Source organism: Homo sapiens, chromosome 4 (genome assembly GCF_000001405.40).
Source record: "Homo sapiens chromosome 4, GRCh38.p14 Primary Assembly".
NCBI classification, from domain to species: Eukaryota; Metazoa; Chordata; class Mammalia; order Primates; family Hominidae; genus Homo; species Homo sapiens.
In genome coordinates this window covers 33,907,440-33,927,654 of record NC_000004.12, presented here as the reverse complement: position 1 = coordinate 33,927,654, position 20,215 = coordinate 33,907,440, and the positions used below count along the sequence as shown (strand labels likewise).

General features: G+C 32.9%; 1 long non-coding RNA gene across 1 annotated transcript in view; it reads left to right on the top strand.

Moving 5' to 3' along the window:
• LOC101928622 (uncharacterized) overlaps window positions 1-20,215 on the top strand; it is a 143,555-nt gene that overhangs the window by 112,239 nt on the left and 11,101 nt on the right. The window lies entirely within an intron of this gene.

Genomic DNA, 20,215 nt, shown 5'->3' with positions numbered 1-20,215 from the left:
TCTTCCTCCAGTATCACCCTAGTACAGGTCCCTCTTATATCTTGCATGTCTTGCAAATTCCTAACTGGTTCCCCAGATATACTTCTATGTGCTTTCTCTTTATTTTTCACATAGCAAGCAGAGTGCTCTTTCTCCAACTTAGATGTATTATTTCACTTTCTTAGGTGGCCTCTCATCCCACTTAAAGTTCAGCCTCCTAAACACAGCCTACATGTCTTTGTCTGCCCAAGCCCCTCTTCCCCTTATCTTGCTTCAGTCACTCTGGTTTAGTTATCTTTTCTGCATAATGCCAAGTATCGTCCTATATCAGAATCTTTGCAATTGATGTTTTTGCATTTGAGAAATATGGTTCTCAGTTGAGAGAGATAAGTTCACTCAGGCCTCTGTCCAAATGTAACCTCCTCAAAGATTCCTTCCTTGCCCATCCTATGACTGTAGCCATGCACCCTTGACAATAACTTTTTGTCTACATAGCTCTTACTTTTATTCATAACATTTATTACTTCTCAAAACATGTACACATTTATTCTTCATAGTAATACGTCAGTTCAAAATATAATGTGAGGTAATTTATTTAGTTTGTTTCCAAGTCTACCTTCAGTGAGTTCCTAGTATACACTAAAAATTCAAATATTCATTATATTAATGAATGTATGAATTAATAAAGGATTGGATACTTATATTTGGATAAATTTCTGTAATGAGATTCAATGCAATCTTTATACAATTGTTCCTGGAAATGGCTAGGGAAGAGAATCACTTCATAAAATATTATCATCACAATTATACACAATTTATATCTTCAATTTTTGTGCTTCTTTGACTTTCCAATTTTTGAGGAAACATGTTACTTTTTAAAATAATATGTGTATACTTTAGATTATTATATTATTCTTAAATGTTTGCCTAAACATTTGTAACAAGAGTCTGGTTGAAATAGCAGATGACTCCATACTTGGCAATTAGTCTGCTGCAAAGATATATTTTCTAATTGCTCTTTAGGTAAAATAAAGCAAAAATATAGTTTTTTCTTCATGCAGCATGTCTACTTAATTTATTTTTATTATGTTATATTCTAATATTTCTTAATGAGACGTGTGCTCTATCTAATTCTAAATTTGGATTAGTATCTCTACTTTAGCACATGGCATTTGTTGTCTTGATTGTATTTAAGTGAGAGAGACAAAGTAGACTACAGTCAGAGTTATAGTAAACCAAAAATTCAATGCTACCTGAGAATAATACAGTTATATAATTGGGGTTCTGTCATAGATGTGATTTAAAAAAATTATTTGCATTATGTGTTCATCCTAATTAAAAAATCACAATTGCTTCTCCTTTTTTCTTTCTTTATATTATGCAATTTAATAAACTGAGCTTACAAAATCCACTCTTTAAGTGAAATGGATAGTGGAGTAATATTTTATTAATATCAGTCAGGGTTTCTCAACCTCAGATGAGTGATATAGTGAAATTTTGGGCTAAACAATTTTTTGTTGGGAGATAGGATGTTGCTGTCCTGTACATTGCTTGGCAGCATTCTTGGCCTCTCTCAAAGGATGCCAGTAGCAACCTCCTACCCCTACTCACCCAGCTGTGAAAAGCAAAAATATATCCAGATATTCCAAATATCCCCTGTTGAGGAATCACTTTGAGTTGTAAATCACAGATATACATAGAGGAAAAAACAACAATAACAGTAAATCCAGTCAAAGTTTCATTTTGGAAGAAGTAAAATAAGTGCTTATTTATAAACATCTTATGTGTAATTTGCAGTCATGAAAATGGAAAATATTAGCATTGAAGCACTTTACTGACCTTCCAACGTTTATGACTTATTCATTTATAATTCATATGCACATAGACGTGCTCATTCCACTTAAAATGGGCTTCGATTCACAGAAAGGTGCACTTTGGTTCTATTATCAGCTTTTCTTCAATTAAAAGAGATGTCTGAAATTTACTAGTCTCCCATCGAGTCAATATAGTCCATTAAATAGGCATTTTATTTTCCATTTTCTCAAAATAAAGTGTCAATGAAATTAGAAGTTTAATTATGCACTACACTGATATTTCAGTATTTTATCATCTTGCTTGCTTGCTTTTTATTTAATTTAGTTTTACTGCAACACAGGCCACAACCTGTACTTTAGCATGGAACGAGTTCCAGTTCCTCAGAGGCACTTATTTTTTTTCTTATTGTAAGCCTGTCACATTCATTTGTACACCAAATGCTTATTTAGGATAGAGGATTTTGCTTCTTACAGTTTGGGCTAAGCTGATAAGAATTGAATATATTTTTTTGCCTGCTAGCTTGCTTTCAAGGAAGATTAAGAACATAGAAAACATGTTTAATGTATTTTAGCTGAACTCAGGAATCGAGTCAACTGAATCTCAGATATATCCTGTGTTTAAAGATTGCCTCACTCCATAACAAGTATTGATTCAGTCAGAGAAAGACCTCCCTCTGACCAAGTTAGAAAATCTTGTAGAGAATAGAAGAGAATTAAGATGAGGAGAAAAAATCAAATTGTATTACTGGGAGAGAATCCAAATGATTATATAGAATTCCATTTCACTTTTTAAATTCCAATTTGAAGCACAGAGAGATTGAACAGCATACTAAATGACACACACAGCTAATTAATTGTAAAGCAGGAATTTGAAACATTTTTCAAAATCATAGGTCGCCAATTCCCACAAACCACAAAGGGAGGTTGGGGTAAGATTCATTGTAGTATAGTTTTAATTTCAATCATTAAAGGCATAGGCAAATACTTGGAAGGAAATTCCCCAGATAAATTTGCACAACCTTAAGTGATCAAGCTATTGACATGACTTAGTAAAATTACAGGAATACCGCTAATCGGACACAGTGGCAAGTCTAATAAATAAAGTGTGAGGACTATATGCTTATGTTAGTTTTTAATTTACCTAAAAGCTATCTTCCCTGTAACACTAAGAGAACTTTGAAAATGCTTTTAAAAGGAGTTAGCCAGCTTGCTTTAGGCAGACAGTAAAGAAAGGGTCCCTAGAGAACCTCTGACCTGCCCCACAAGTGCTTACGCGAGATGTTTTGTGCAGATAAGGGAACATACACAGGGGGCTTACCTAAACATGCTGGCAGTGGAAAATTCCGTTCCTTAGCACATGCGCAGTAGGGAAAATAAATCAATACGGAGCAGTTCGGTCTAAGGGCCTGCATGCCCACTGGAAGGATGGGGTGGAGCTGCCAGGAATTCCCACCTTAAGCCCTGGTATTCAACTGTGAAGAGGGCAGCCAGCTTTCAGTACTCTTGTCTTTGCTGACTGCTTCCCTTTCACTTAGTACTACTTGACTCACTCTTTGATGTCAGCATGCCTAATCCTTCGTGGTCATAAGACAAGAAGCCAGACCTAGCTGAGCCAAGAAGCAAAAATCCTGCATCACGTTTAAACTCTTTTAAACTAATTAAACTATTGTGTAAATTAGATATATAAATGCATATATAGGTATGTACATATACACATATATAGACATGTGCAAGTCTATATGTGTGTACATATACACTTTTATGAATGTTGCAGTACATGAATTCCATTATGGCTGAATTAAATTAAATTATGTTATATGATTTCTTCCAGTTTTATAATATTTTGTATATCTAAAGGTAATTTCTTTCCACATTAAAACTCTATAGTTATTCCATTCAAGTTTTAGTCTAATGAATTTAATTTGGAAATTTTATTACCTCTCTTTAGAGTGAGAGGGAACTGTACAACTTTTAGAATACCTAGATGTCTTCTGTTTCCTTTGAGCTTCTAATTGCTTTTAGGTTTATCACTCTGTTTTGAAAAAACTAGGTTTCCATTGGATTTGGAATAAAACTGAAAATCCCCATTGTCACTTATGTTATTAATTTGCCATATTTTCCACTTCACTCAGGATCTTCATTTGCAATGGCTGTCTTTCTGTTTTACTGTGCCAAGCCTTTTCCTCCTTCTTTATGTGCACTTGCTCCTTTATCTCATGATCATCTTTGAGGTTTTAATGTAAATGTCACCTACTCAGAGAGCATTTCCTCTATCAACAGAAAATAATTAGTGAGAAAATGGGAAGTTTATTTTGGTTTGCGAGCTACAAATTTCAAGATTACTCTTTGAATGGCTTTGTTTCTTGAACTGAATGTCAATGACTTTGATGTTTTTCATCCAAATAATTCCCAACAATTCTGGGTAATAAATTATAACACATAAGAGAATTTGATTTGATACCAAAAACTGAATCAAAGTGAAACTGTACATTTACTGAGATGAAAGCTGTAACTTCTTCTAATCTTTATTATATAAATGCACGTTGCTTTTAAGTAATTCGGATAAAATCATTATTATTTAAACAAATGCTATCAAATCTAGAGAATAAACAATTATTCTGAGATAAATGCCATGTGGATTTATGACAGGTGTTCCAAAATACAATTTTCCTTCTTGATATCAGAAATTATGAGCTCCAAAAATATTTATTGTGTGAGTAGAAAGCTTCCTATATGTATAGATGACTTTTATGACTCAGTTCCATTTATTATTTTGCTATTCAAGTAACACATTTATGTTTGCTTGATGTATTTTCAGTTTTTAATGAGATAATAGGACCCAAAATATTACTAGGTACTTAAAAATGCTAAAATATTGAACAGACATTTTTACTTGTAATAATAATTCTAGTAATATATAAATTAATTTTAGCCAAATATTTCTGTGAATTATTATATTAACTTACATCTATTGCTTTAAAATAATAAGAATGCGAATACTAGTTTGTTAACTGTGCAAAATATGTAAATAGAAGTACTTAGAGAGCTGCCTATTGATATTACTTAAGTACAATGATAGTATTCCCCTAATATTTTCTCTATTGCCAGGCACTTCACCTGAAATTTTGGCTATTGATGCTACTTGCAAATCATTCTATATGAAATGCATGTACGTGACCCCAAAATGTTTTATATTTAGAATTAAACAGTATCTTGAGAATATGCTATATGACAGCTATTATGATTGATCCTTTCAAATAAATTTTAACATTAATATTATCATACTTGAAACAACCCATTATGAGTTAGGTATTATTTTTTCCCATTTATAGAGATTATGAGATTATGTAGTGTAAAGATGGAGAATCAGAAACTAAAAACAGAACTTGTGATTACAAGATCATTATTCATTTATTAGTGCAATACTCAGTATTGAGAAGTGAGGCATCAGGTAGAAACAACTATCATTTATCAGACTGAAAAAACTAAGATTATCTCTAACATGGAATGCTACAAAGGAGGGGAGGCACAAGTGAGGCACAGAACTGTAGAAATATAGGAAGGTGTTTTACTTGGATTAAAGTTGCCCAAACAAACTTGATATAGTTCAGAACTTTTTGGACCACGAATAAGTAAAAATGCAAGTTGTTGCCCCATTGTCAGCCACCTTTACAGACCCTTCATCAAACAGAATTCCAGGCAATACAACTTGACTATGTGTTTCATTAAAATCACAAAAGAAGATAAGAAGCACTTTCCCCATATTAAATTATCAAAAGCAAAATCTGTTTTTAATCAAAGCATACAACTTAAATCTACAAACTTGAAATCATCATTGGACTATCACTAGTTAGGCTATTTATCTTTATATCTATAAATTTAAACCTTTAATTCAAGCATTTCATGTCTTGAAAATAGATATAAAACTAATTTTTCTAGTGACCAACTTGATACCTATGTATTTTAAACTACTGACGTGATTAATAATTGTTGCTATTTATTCTAGAATGTACCTTTTTCACTACCAAATTAACACTTTGAACTGGAGTAATGGGGATATTCTGACAAGCACTGGAATTCTCAGGTTTATGCTCATTGATTTTGCAAAAGTAAAGCATACCACATAAAACTAGTCAAGTGATCTTTGACAATGGAACAAAAACAATACAGTGGCGCAAAATAGTATTTTCAACAAATGGTGTTGAAATAGCTAGACATCTACATACAAAAATAAATAAATCTTTACACAGACCTTATACCCTTCAGAGAAATCAACTCAAAATAAAAGACCTAAATGTAACATGCAAACCTATGAAACTCTTAGAAGATAATGTAAAAGAAAATCTAGATGACCTTGTGTTTGGCAATGACTTCTAGAAACAAAAACAAAGGCACAATCCATGAAATAAAAAATTAATGAGCTGGACTTAATTAGAATTAAACATTTTTGTTCTTCAAAACAAGAATGAAAACAAAATACTTTCAAAAGAACAAAAAGAAAAGCCAGTGACTTGTAGAAAATATTTACAAAAGGCTTATCTCATAAATAATTATCTAAAATATACAAAAATCTTATATACTCAACAGTAAAAAGTAAACTGATTAACAAATACATCAAAGACCTTAATAGATACCTCGCCTAAGATATACAGATGACGAATAAACACATGAAAAACTGCTTGATGTATGTTATCAGAAAAATGTAAATTAAAACAATAGCAAGATACCCCTACACACCCATTAGAATGGTCAAAATCCAGAAAAGTGACAATACCAAATGCTGGAAAGAATGCATAACAACAGGAACTCTCATACATTGCTAGTAGGAATTCAAGCTCTACGGATACTTTGGAACAGTTTTGCTCCTTATTACAAAACTAAACATACTCTTATTGTATAATCCAGCCATTGCACTCTTTGGTATGAAGTCAGATTAGAAAAAAGCTTAGTCCACAAAAAAGACCTACACACTGATGTTCATAGCAACTTTATTTACAACTGCCCAAACTTGGAAGCAACCAATATGTCCTTTAGAGGTGAATGAATAAATAAACCGTTGTACATCCAAACAATGAAAAAATTATTTAGTGCTGAAAAGAAATGAGCTACCAAGCCATGAAAATACATAGAGGAAACGTAAATATCTATCAGCAAATGAAATAAATTAGTCTGAAAATGCTACACACTATATGATTCTAGTTGTGTGGCATTCTAGAAAGGTAAAACTATCAAAACGGTAAAAATTCAGTGGTTGCCGCGGGTTAGGGGTGAAATTGAGATGAATCGGCAGGGAGCAGAATAATTTTGGGGCTGTGAAACTACTCTGTATGATACACTGGTGGATACATGCCATTATAAATATCCAAAATAGAGAATTTATGACACTGAGAGTGAATTCTAATGTAAACTATAGACCGTGAGTGATGATGATGTATCAGTGTAGGTTCATCGATTGTAACAAATGTATACTGTGGTGGGGGATGTTGATAATGGGGGAGGCTGTCTATATGTGGGATATACAGGGAATCTCTGTACTTTCTGCTTGATTTTTCTGTGAACCTAAAAACTACTTTTTAAAAAGTGTTACCTATTGCAGTGCCTACATAACAGCTGGACACTCATCCTGTTTTGTGCCCAATGCAATGCCCATGTAACATACACTTCCTACTCGGCTTTAACTCTGCTTATTTTTAGGAAACAGGATGTCTATGGTGGTCAGAGGTTCCTTCTTATACAGCTTACTGGACTGCTGAAGAATCTAGCTTCATTATAATCCAATTTTCATACTAAATGACACTCCCAGAGGCACCATGACAGTTTACAATCACCACATCAATGACCTGAAGGGAACAACAAAAAAAAAAGAGGCAGCTCTTTGATTCCAAAAAAAATGTTCACCCCCTCTCAAGAAAAAGCATGAGTTTTCCTCCTCTTCCTCCTAATGCCCATACCCTGTACTAAGAATACCCTATATCTGTAATTTCCCCAAGTGCAAGAGCTAAGAAGTTAATTTATGAGCTACACTCTCACTTATCCAAATTGTTGGCCATTGAATAAAGCTTGCAGTGCTTGATACTCACTGTCCATTTCTGGTATTGATTTCATGACATCAAATGGAAAAGTTGCCACAAAAAAGGAGCTCTTTCCCATTTGGTGTCATGAAAAAAATTCATTGAAAAAAGTAAAGCATTTCTTTAGCATATGAAATTCAATGTCTTCATAAATCTGCTTATTGTCTTAACTATGTTAAGCATTGCAAGACTAACAATTAATTTTTAAAAACCCCATTTGAACCAAATAATTTCTTCATCTTTTCTTTAATGTTGTACAATCCGTTTAAACTGAAGAAAATTTTATATATCTCTTGCCTTAATTCTTTAATAATTAGATTTTTAGATAGTAAACCCATTAGTCACAGCAAGAAAATTGACCACAACAGGCTTGGTTCAACAAGTTTCATTATCTTTTCAGTCCATTCAGAAGCATTATGGAATGGTTTATCAAGATAACTTTGCATTTTCTTAAAGTAAAATGATAAGAGTATTATTATGATATTTTTCAGGTGTGCACCAAGAATAATTTTGCAAACAATTCCCAGTAAGCCCTTGCTTTTTTACATGTTCTATTTTGTCTTAGGTTACTGTCACCAAGTAAGTTTTAGTGGCCAACATCAATACAGGTGTAATTGGCAGGTGACAAAAAGTTTATATAATTAAAACTATAATGACATTTCTGAAGAAACACCAAACTGAAGTCAGAAAATAAAAATAAATGTTAATATACTAAAATAAGAGAGAAAAAATTAGCATAGAGAAATAAAACAAAACTTTTTTTCAGAATATAAACAAAATGGGTAAAATACCAAGTGGTGTTTGGATGTATCGGAGCGCTGTATCACTTGATTTTATCCATTCTTAGGAAGTCCTAGACTTAACCTCAAATTATCTTTGAAATATTCTTAAGCTTAGAACACCCTCCACTCTTGCCTGTATGCTTCCATTTGCCTTATCCCATTTGTTTACCTTAAATATAACTGAAATTTGGCTTTCACTCCTCATTGATCTTCACCTTTTGACAGATCAGATGGCATTCCTCTGCCTGACTGAGTTCTCTCCTTAAAAAGGAGAGAAATTCTCACAATGGTTTTCCTGATATTGCCCTCCATCACTTTCTGTAATTTACAGCATAACCTTGAAATAAATATATATAGCATATATGTACCCTGACACAATTGTGTCACTTGTAATAGTATTTGTAATTGAATTTAAAATATTTTGTCAAGTATGATATCTTACCTGAAAAGCAATATATAGAACCACCAAATGTATTTTCCCCGTATACATCTTTAAAATTCAGCATGAATTTTCAATGCCTCAATTCTTAGTTCAATTTCTAAGCAGTAAGTGAGATGAGATGGTCTAGTCATTTAGAAATCTTGGGGAATAATAGATGAATGATGTACTTTAGCATTTTTTCTAATTAATGCACTATATTATGTAAATTATTACAATCATGTTAGCTAAAATGGCATTGAAAGTAATGCTGAATTGATCACATGCTGTCCCCTTGTGTAATATTTTTTCACATTTTCTTAGTATGATCATTTGATAATGATTTTTTTATCGAGTCCAAGAAATTATTTATTGGTCTCATGTACATCCTTGGAAAGTATGTGAGCCCACCACAGATTACAACTTTGCCCAAAATATTTTTCTAAAATCTTTAGCCCTCTTCTTTTTGACCTTTTGGAAGGAGTAATTCTCTGATAACCATATTTCTCTTTTTAAACATTTTTCTTCTTGAAAGCTTAAAAATTATCTTGCAATCAAAACAGATAATACTCTGGTTGAAGAACTATAAATAAGATCAAAACAAATTAACAATTAGGTAATTGTTTGGGTTCTAATGAGTATTTCCTTTTAAGAGAGGAAACACTGCATTGAAAATATGAGTTTAACCTTTATACAAAGAATGGTATTCAAAATGCTATTAAGTCATTAACTTTGGCAAATAGGCATTTAACCTTTGTCAAAATTCAACAGTGTTTAACCTTTGTGTTTAAAATAGTGCTTCCATTAGGTATGCTTCAATTGCTGCAGATCAAATAGGAAGCAAGCTGCCTCTTGACCTGAAATTTAAACTAATCCTCATGTGACCTTTGCAGGAATTGAAACTAAAGTTTATTGAACTTTATTTTAAAAGAGCAGGGTTTTTGTGTTGTTTTTGTTTTTGTTTTGTTTTTAAGATTTGCAGGCCTTTGCATATCTCACTACCTGCCAGGTGAGGACAATTCCAAAATGCCGCAAGGAAAAGCTGTAGCTGTTGTATTTACATTTTTTTGGAGGCTGCAAACAAAGACAATTCTCTTGAGAAAGTATGTTTTAACAGTATTTCTAGGCAAATTGTGCAAATTCAGGAGATTCAGATTAACATTTATACTTTGGCTTATGGAAAAGTACAATTCTAACATCTTCCCATTTACTCACTGTTAATTTACAGTCATGGAGGAGAAAAGACATAATTTGATTTACCTATTATGGGCACACCAGTTGTGTAGAAAGCATTATTTCAAATCAAAAAGAGCTATTTTCCTCTAACCATTTGCATCAGTCATTGTTAGTAATCCACTGGTACATTTCAAGTAATTTTCCTCTCTAATTAGAGCACACAGCTCTATCTTCTGTGTTTTCTACAACAGATGTGATATTTGCAAGCATCTCAAGGGAAGATATATTTTTCTGAAAGATGCTTACCTGCACAACCAAAAGATTTTGGAGGAGCCGCTGAAAATCTGGACTAAAAAGCACAACTTTCCATAAATAAGAACAAGTGGAAAATGAGTGAACTAAGTCCTGGTGTCTTTAATCGCCTTTTTCCTCTAGTGAGCAGATCTTCAAATAGACATTAGGAGCTATAAATTGGCCTTCCAATGTAAAATCACAAAGAATAAATTATAGGAGAATACGTTTCCATTTTAAAAGAAAATGTGTCTTCTTTTCACAATGTGTCTCTGTAGTCTAGTCTTTACCATTGTAGTGAGATCCATCATTTTACTTGCACTTACATATTCTAAAAGTTTTATATGCAAAAGTTTCCCAAACCTTCAATTTCCAGACAGAGAAAGTAATGCCTTAGAAGGAAATAACTCATAGTGTAAAACTAGAAAGTGTGTACCAGTCAGCACCAGCTCTAAAGTTTTCAAGTAGGTGAAGTTAGTATTGAACATTTAGTGGCCTGCATCTTCTGGGTACCTGCTTCTCTCAATTTTTAGTTCTTTTAGGTTTAATTAATGTCCATTTGAACCTGCTTTTCTACTGTTAGTTACTTAAAAACTATAAATTCCAGAAAGGTTGGTACATGGGTATTTCCAATAACTAGAGCAATACCTGTGACTTGGAGAAGGAAAGCCCCCAAACTGGGGCTTAGCCTAGGAGAGTTATTTGCTTCCCCCAGGAAAGAATTCATGTGTGAGACGATAGTGTTAAGCAGTAATAGTTTATTGAACCACAGCTGTTCCTTACAGAGCAGGGCTACCTCACAGGCAATGCTATCTACATCTGATAGCTGTTGTATTTATATTCCTTTGTACCCATGTTAAATTAGATACAAATTAAGGAGGGGGTAATGCAAAATGAAGAGGTGGGTTCTTTAGAACTTTCTAGTTATGGGGCAGTAACTTCAAGGGCACTGAAGGGGCTGGTAGCTTCCAGGTTGTTACCACAGCATTTGTAAACTATCATGGAACTGATAGGAGTATCATGCTAATGAGCAATGAGGGCGGTTAGGGATTGCTTTCATCACCATCTAATGGCTCCTGGCAGTTTCTTTACTTCATCCTGTCAGGATCGAGAAATAAGTCCTGCCAGTCTTCTACCTCATGCCCTCCTCAGAGATGACATACTCCTCTTTAATCTTAAAGGGGCTCCAGAAGGTCAGAGGTCTGCTCTGTAACTACTTCCTGCTGATATTATGGGTGTAGGCTCTGCCTAGCATTGGGGAGCAAAAATCTGTGGATACCTGATCTAAGAGGCTGAAATGCAGGATATTTTTATTCTCCAGGTTAGAAGATGGGATGAGTTGGAAGCCTTATGCCAGAATAGTCTTCATATAAATTATTGTAGTCTAGAAGACACAAACTTTACTATGAGGTTAAACAAACAAGGAAAAAAAATTAGTAATAATAGCTATCGAAGATCTTAGGAAAGATAAAAATCAAGTGAGAATAATATAATAGGTGCAGTTTATTACTGCACACACTCATCCTTGCCATGTTGTTTATTTGTGTGTTTGCAAAGCAACAGCTTTAAGTTTCCTAGCATTTACAAGTGTGTGTTGTGTCCTGCTCTTAACACCTGTGGGGACTCATAAGAAACAGGTTTAACTCTGGACAGGTGTACCCAGCCTGTGATTCCCTGAAGTTTAACAGCAGTGAAGGTACTTAAAATACCTGATAGGGGCCTTTCTATTTTATTTATAGTTGATCCTTAGGGGATCCTTCTTTTTAATATTTAATAAGACTAAGTCTTCTGGTTGAATAGAGGAGCTATTCTTTTCCTTTGTGCAAAAGGGCAATATTTTATTTTGTAATTTTGAAACACATTTTGAACCTGGCCTAAATTTCAGGTGGGGCATAGTGAAGAATGTCAATCCACTCTTTCCTGTCATGGCCTTAGATTTTCAGAGATTTTTGGGATTCACTTTGGCCAAGGGACTTCCATTAAACATTCTAGACTAGATGGGAATGGAGATAGGTAGGCACTTATTAGCCCTTAAAACTGTTTTAGGCAATATAAGAGCCAAAAACTAAAAGCCAAAAATGAGGTATACAGCAAGAAATATTAAGAGTATAAAATCAAGTTATACTGATACTGAAAGAAGATATTGCTTTTATAGACCTCTATGATAAAATATTTTAGCATCAGGTTATAGCAACGTTTAAAACTGGAGAGAAAAGAGTTAGAGGAGCTGACACAAAAGGTCAAGGAAAGAGTTATCAACTCAGGCCTCCTCAAAAGAGCTGAAAGCAGTGACATAGAGCAACAGTTGAACTTCTGAGATACAAATAAGACAAGCTTTAAAATATACCAATTATAATATTAAAAGCAAAATTTCTTACAATTTAGGAAATCAGTCCCATAAGCGAATTTTATTTTAGCATGTAGAGCATTCTTTAGAAAGTCTATTATAAACAATTTTCTTTTAATTAGAGCTAGCTTAATCACACACAACATTTCTTTCATAAATTCCCTTCCCCAGCGTTATCATGACTTATACCATCTATGACATGCTTGGACTTTCTGACTTGTCCTATAATATATTTATTTCTATTTTTATTTTTTTCTCTATTTACAGGTTGTTAACTGATTTTTAAAATTACTAGTAATTTTACAGTAGGACAAAAATTTGTAATTTGTAATACAACATCCTTTTTATAAATACAATTATTCTTTTTTTATATTTTTTCTTGAAAAAATACATCTTCTATCCATAACTTCCTTTACATCTCTCTTTCCTACTAACTTGTTCCTTTATATTTTGAATCTCCCCTTTAATAACTTCAGAATTAGATAAAAACTTTTCTTATTCCCAACAAAGAATACATATTTTTGGCACATTTTATATAAACTTCAGAGACAAGAAATTCTGAACTGCCTATCAGATATTGGCATTTTATAGATGAGAATGATTCTACAGTTTCAAGATTTTAAACCACATGAAAGCTCTCCATTTAAAGCCATTTTAATTATTCTGAAGCTCACAAACATCAGTGTTTTACCTAGGTAAAAATTAAAGTAAAATTTTAGAAGACACCACATTCCCTTCCAACTAACAAGTTTAAACTAGTCTTATTTGCTTAATTTATGAGCACTCCTTTATTTGTATGCCAATTTGATAGCATGCTAGACACAACACATATCACACAAATGAAGTGACCTATACAAGACAGCTGTATCCAAGTTATTTACAAAATTGAGACCTGTCTACCTGGCAAAATTTTGTTTTCCCTCATAAGTATGAAAGTCAGGAAGAGGCAGAAAAGGAGATCCCATACTACCAAACAAATCAGGCCACTGAAGTTCATTCTAGGTGATAAAGTGAGACCCCATCCTTAAAAAATAAATGAATTAAAAAATGGTGACAAAAAAATCAGCACAGGCTGAAAGAAAATGAATCAGCATAAGAAAATTATTTTTATTTACCTAGAATGTCACAGAAATTGTCTCTATGTTTCCTTAGCTTGACTAGACATTAGACAGGCTTCTTCCTGACCCTAGGACCTGACTCCCTTTGCTTAGAGCATTTAATTTGGAAAGCTTGTCACTGTAAATTCTTTCCTGATCCTTTTTGAGATGTATGTAATGTCTTAAGGAGCTAAGAACCATCTTTTTGAAATGAATTATCAAGAGAGAACTCCTATCTCCTTGTCTCTGTAAGAGACTAGAAGTCTAACTTTGATGTATTCTAATTAGTAAACATAGATGACCTAATCACCGTGGACAATGTTTGCAAGCTCTGAATTAACAGGACATGTTGTACACATTCCATTAATCAGCCTCCAGGTGACATAATGACCTCTGTAACATACTTTTTCATCAGTTTACTCTAGCAATTTATAAACCAACTAAGCTTTGTTCTATGAAGTTGAGTTCAGACTGAGTTCTGGCCTCTCTCTTCTATTGCAATAACCTCAATTAACATCTTCCTTTCTTGTTTAAATTTATCTGGTACAACTTTTGTTTTGAATGTCTATATATGTAATTAAGGGATACGATTTTCACTGAGATAAATGCCTCTGAGTTTGCAGTTGGTTTGATAATAAATTAGAGAATATGTTTAAACCGTCTTAAGTGATGTTTATTGATTTTAGTAAAAACATTTTAGAATGTTGATCCAATTCCCAATAACTAAGGGGTTTTTGCTTTTTGTTTTTTGTTTAGCTTGTTTTCCTTAAGAGCAATTGTTTACCCAAACAGTGCCCCTCCAGACATGGATGTATTAGAAGACTTTAACATATGGAAGTCATGGTTGCTTGGACTTGGAAGGATGCTTAACTTGAAATAGACCAAACAGATTCTCTCTTCCAAAATAATTTTTTAAAAATAGAAAAATATTTAGGTCTATTGGCACTAGAGTAAGATTCATAACTTGTAAAACAAACTTTTTGAAATATCAGCTAAATATAATACACCACAGACCAAATAGAAAAAATAAGAAGAAGTCATAGGGAGTTGGCATAAAATTTATTTGATGTATGGAACTCTTCAGCAATGGTTTCAGTTAGAGGAGTTAATCATTAAAGACCATACTAATAACCCAACCTAGGGACAAGAGTTAGAGATCAATATATATTCTAGAAAGAACTGATATTGCCCCACTTAGCTCCGTCATGGTGACCAGATTGGAGTTGAAGTAATGTAGTAATCCAGTTGTAGTTTCTTTATCTTGACTCCAGTTGGAGACTAAGAACGGAAAAGTTCTTAAGCAAGACAACTTAACAACCATGTAATTGGACCTCCAAGTGTAATTGCATGGATTACCTAAAGCTTGGCTATAAACAGCAATCTAAGGTTAGCATAACTCTTTAACAACACGGGATTCTGATACAATATTTTAAATAGATTCAGAGAGAATATGTAATGAGAGAAAGTTTCCAAACAGCTGGCTGCTAAAGCAAGTCCCCAGCCCTTTTCTTCACTTCCCTTGGGAAAAGAAAGGCTGACTCATAAAATAAAGAATGTACACCCAATCCTCCCACTTAGGTGCCAAGGAGATTTAAATAGTGCCCAAGCAAGCAGAGAAGAGTTTTTGGGACAAATGGTAAGCCCAGAACAAGATAGATGGGAAAAACATTATTATTATTATTATTTTTTTTTAACAAAACACACAAATATATTTTCAATAGCAGCATATTCTTCCATGTTACAAAGTTGCTATAATTTACTAACCCATTCTCCTACATAATATGTCATTTATATTTTAATGACTTTTGTTTGTTTATTCTATTATTAACATTGCTGTATTGAATGTACTTATACATACATCTTTGCACTATTCTGATTTTTTTCTGGGAGGATATTGTTCCAAGAGATAAGTTGGCAAATAAAAAGTGCTACTGCTTTGAATTATTGATACATATGGACAAATTGCCTTTTAGAAACTGCTTTTCACCATCAATATAGCAGAATACCATTTTAAAAATTCAATATTTATAAGCACCATGTTTATTTCAAACATGACACTACGTTCTAGGTTTGGATGCAGAGATGATGAAGAACAAGATAGAAACAGTGTTCCCTGGGACCTTAACCAGCCATGAATAAGCAGGAGATTTTTTTGTGTACAGAAAAATAATGAAAATAAAATGGAGAGTGTTGTTTAGGATAAAATAAAATTATTAAAGAGCCACCATATTTGATATATATCAGGACTATACACATTCTGCCAATTACCCCTCCTCATAATACCTGTCACCTATCACCACCAGCCTTATACAGAGATACAGGTCCTTGCTAAGCAATTCCAAGAGATATGTTACACATTCTTCTGTATGGACTAATGGATAATTGCTGGTTCCACTTGTGAGAAAATGTCATTTCCACAGAGAAATTGACCAACGCAATGCAATCCATGGTGAACCAACAGGGAACTTGATGAAAATTACACTTTTCTTACTCTCACAGAAGAAAAGGACTATCATTTATTTATGTGGACAGGGATTTTCCTTTGAGGGAATGTAAAGATCAAAAATATTATCCAAGATTATTATCTTATCCTGTCAAAAGAGGGCCCTCTATACATAAAATTTAGAATTAATTCATTCAAGTAACAATTTATTTTAACGATCAATAATGTAATACATTTGTAACTAGATATATGAGTAAAAATAAAAAAATTATATTTAAAACTATTAAAGTGGACACAGTCATCTTGTATACCCATACCAGAATAGGTCTTACATGATGTCTTGGTATGGATTCTCATTCCCTGCTGGACATTTGCTGCAAGTATATGCATTTCAGCCATTAGACATCAGTGAAAACAGGCTTAAAATTAATGAGGAGCATTGGAAAGCCTTGCAGTCTGAATTGCTTTCATTGTTTCCCTTAGTAACCTAATAAGAATCAATATTTTTAAAAAACACATTACTAATGGACATGCTAAAAATGTATAAGAACGGCAAATGATAAGTAAAATTAATAGTGTGACATATTTAGAAACTGGGTAATTGCAATGTGGAAGTGATCAATCAACTTAGGATTTTTTGTCAGCTGAATTGATATATAATTATTTTTAAAACTGCATATATTTAAAGTGTATATGTTTTGACATTTGTATATGCCTGTGAATTCACTACCACAGTCAAATAAATGAAAATACCTATCACACACAAAATATTCTTTCTGCTCCTAAATATTACCTTCTTCCTAATCCTTCCTGCTCCCTTTCACCTGTCCCAATACAAGTACCAATCTGCTTTCTGATGTTATAGACTAGTTTGTATTTCTTAGAGTTTTATATAAATGCAATCTTATGCCACATTCTCTTTTATTAAGTGGGCTTTTTCACTCAGTGTAATTATTTTAAGATTTATCTATAAGTTTAAGTTATCAAAAGCTCATTATTTTTCATTTCTGAGTAGTATTTCATTGCAACTATATGTAATAATTTATCCAGTCAACTGTTAAAGGTTATCTGGGTTATTTTGAGTTTTTGGCTATTACATATGTACTAAGTATGAACAATTGTTTAAAATTCTTTTTATGGACAGAGACTATTATTTCTCTTTGGGGAACAGCTAGATGTAAATTGCTTGGGCCATGTGGTAAACATATATGTTTATATACGGGTTTCCTGAAATGGTAAAACTGCTTTCCAGACTAGTTGTAGCACTATATATTCCCACCAACAACTCTAATTCCTGTATATCTCAAAGAAAACTTTTTATGGTCAGCCTGTTTAAGTTATTCTAATAGATTTATAAAATATCTCATTGTAGTTTAATATGCTTATACATAAATAGTGGTCTTTTAAAATTATTTTTCTTTTTTTCTTAACCTTTATTTTAGGTTTGGGGTAGATGTGCTTTGTTTTATAGGTAAACACGTGTTACGAGGGATTGTTGTACATATTATTTTATCACCCAGGTTAAAATTATTTTTTATATACTTACTTGATGTCAGTGTGTACCATCTTTAGTGGTATGTCTGCTTCCATCCTTTGTCCATTTCTATGTTTTTTTACTCATTATTAGTTTTAGGAGATTTTCATATATTCTAGATTCAAGTCCTTTATGATATGATTTTAAAATATTTTCTTCTAGTCAGTAGCTGGGCTTTTCATTCTCTTAACAATGTCTTTTGTGGACTACTCTTTTTATTTTTACAAAGTCTATTTTATCAATTTGTTTTTTAAAGATTGCATTTGTGATGTTTAATATAATAATTCCTTGCTTAACCCATTGATATGGTTTAGCTGTGTCCCCACCCAAATCTCATCCTGAATTGTATTATAGTTCTCATAATCCCCATGTGATGTGGCAGGGACTAGGGGGAGATAATTGAATCATGGGGTGGTTTCCCCTATCCTATTCTCATGATAGTAAGTTCTTACAAGATCTGATGGTTTTATAGGGGCATTCCCCCTTTGCTGGGCACTCACGTCTCTCTCCTGTTGCCATGTGAAGAAGGATGTGTTTGCTTTCCTTTCCACCATGATTGTAAGTTTCCTGAGGCCCCCCAACCCATGCAAAACTGAGTCAATTTTTTTTTATAAATTACCCAGTCTCAGGTATATGTTTATTAGCAATGTGAGAAATGACTAACATATCCATGATCACAAATGATTTTCTATTATGTTTTCCTAGAGCTATTTAATGCTTTAAGGTTTTTATTTAGGTATATGATCAATTTGGGGGTTAATATTTGAATATGGTTCAAGATATGAGTCAAAATTTGTTTTGTTATTTTTATTTTTGTTTTATTGAATATGAATTTCCAATAATTCCACAACACCATTCGTTTTTATCCATTCACCACCAAACTGCCTTTTCATCTTTGTTGAAAATCAGTTATCTTATATATGTGTGTGGATTTATTTCTGACACTAAATAACCCTGTTTCATTTACCTATTTGTTTTTATGCCAATATTGTAATGTATTCCTTACTGAAGGCTTACTAGTTCTTAAATTCAGGTAATGAAAGATCTCTATCTTTAAAAAATATTTTGGTAATTTTAAGTTATTTGCCTATGATATGGTTAGGCTTTGTGGCCCCACCCAAATCTCATCTTGAATTGTAATCCCCTAATTCCCATAATGCCCATGTGTTAAGCCGAAGACCAGGATAAAGTAATTGAATCATGGGGGTAATTTCCCCCATGCTGTTCTCATAATAGTGAGTGAGTGCTCATGAGATCTGATGGTTTTATAAGGGCTCTTCCCCCTTTGCACAGTTCTTCTCCTTCCTGCCACCTTGTGAAGAAGATGCCTTTCCTCCCTTTCACCTTTCACCATGATTGTAAGCTTCCTACAGCCTCCCCAGTCATGCTAAACTGTGAGTCAATTAAACCTCTTTCTTTTAGAAGTCACCCAATTTTGGACAGTTCATTACAGCAGTATGAAAATGGACTAATATAGCATATTTATGTAAAATTTAGAATGAACTTTTCAATTTCTACCATAATATATGCTGCATTTTTTTTTACTGTAATTGCATTTTATCAATAGGTCAATTTGGAGATATTTGATACCTTCATAATGTGCCTTCTGTCCCAAGAACGTGATAAACCTCTTCATTAATCAAAATCTCTAATTTATCTCACCAATATTCTTTCAATTTTTTAGTACACAGGTCTTGTACAACTTTTGTCAGATTTACTTTAAAATTTTTTCATATTTTTTATATTTTCTAAGTGATATTAAAATTTCAAGGTTTGAATTCACATTGCCAGTATGTAGGAATACAACTGATTTTCAAACTCATATATTAGTGTAGTAGTTTTTTTGTATAGTTCACTCATTTTTCTATAGAGGCAATTATGTTATCTGAGAATTAAGACAATTAAAATTTTTTCTTGCTAATTTGAATGTCTTTTTTTTTCTTTTCCTTATTTTATTGAACTGATTAGACCCTCCAATACCATGTTGAATAGAGCTGCTGAGAGCAGACATCCTTGTCTTTTTTGTGGTCTTAGGGGAAAACATCAATGCTTTCATTACTAAACATGATATTAGCTGTAGGGTTTTTTTTTTTTTGTTTCTGTTTTTTAAGAGATGTCTTCAACCAATTTGTAAGGAGTTCTCCTCTTTTCTTAGTTTGTTCAGAATTTTTATCAGGTTTGATGTTTGATTTTTCCAAATAACTTTGCTGCCTCTATTGAGATGATTACATAATTTTTGTTCTTTGGTTTGTTATTGAAGTCA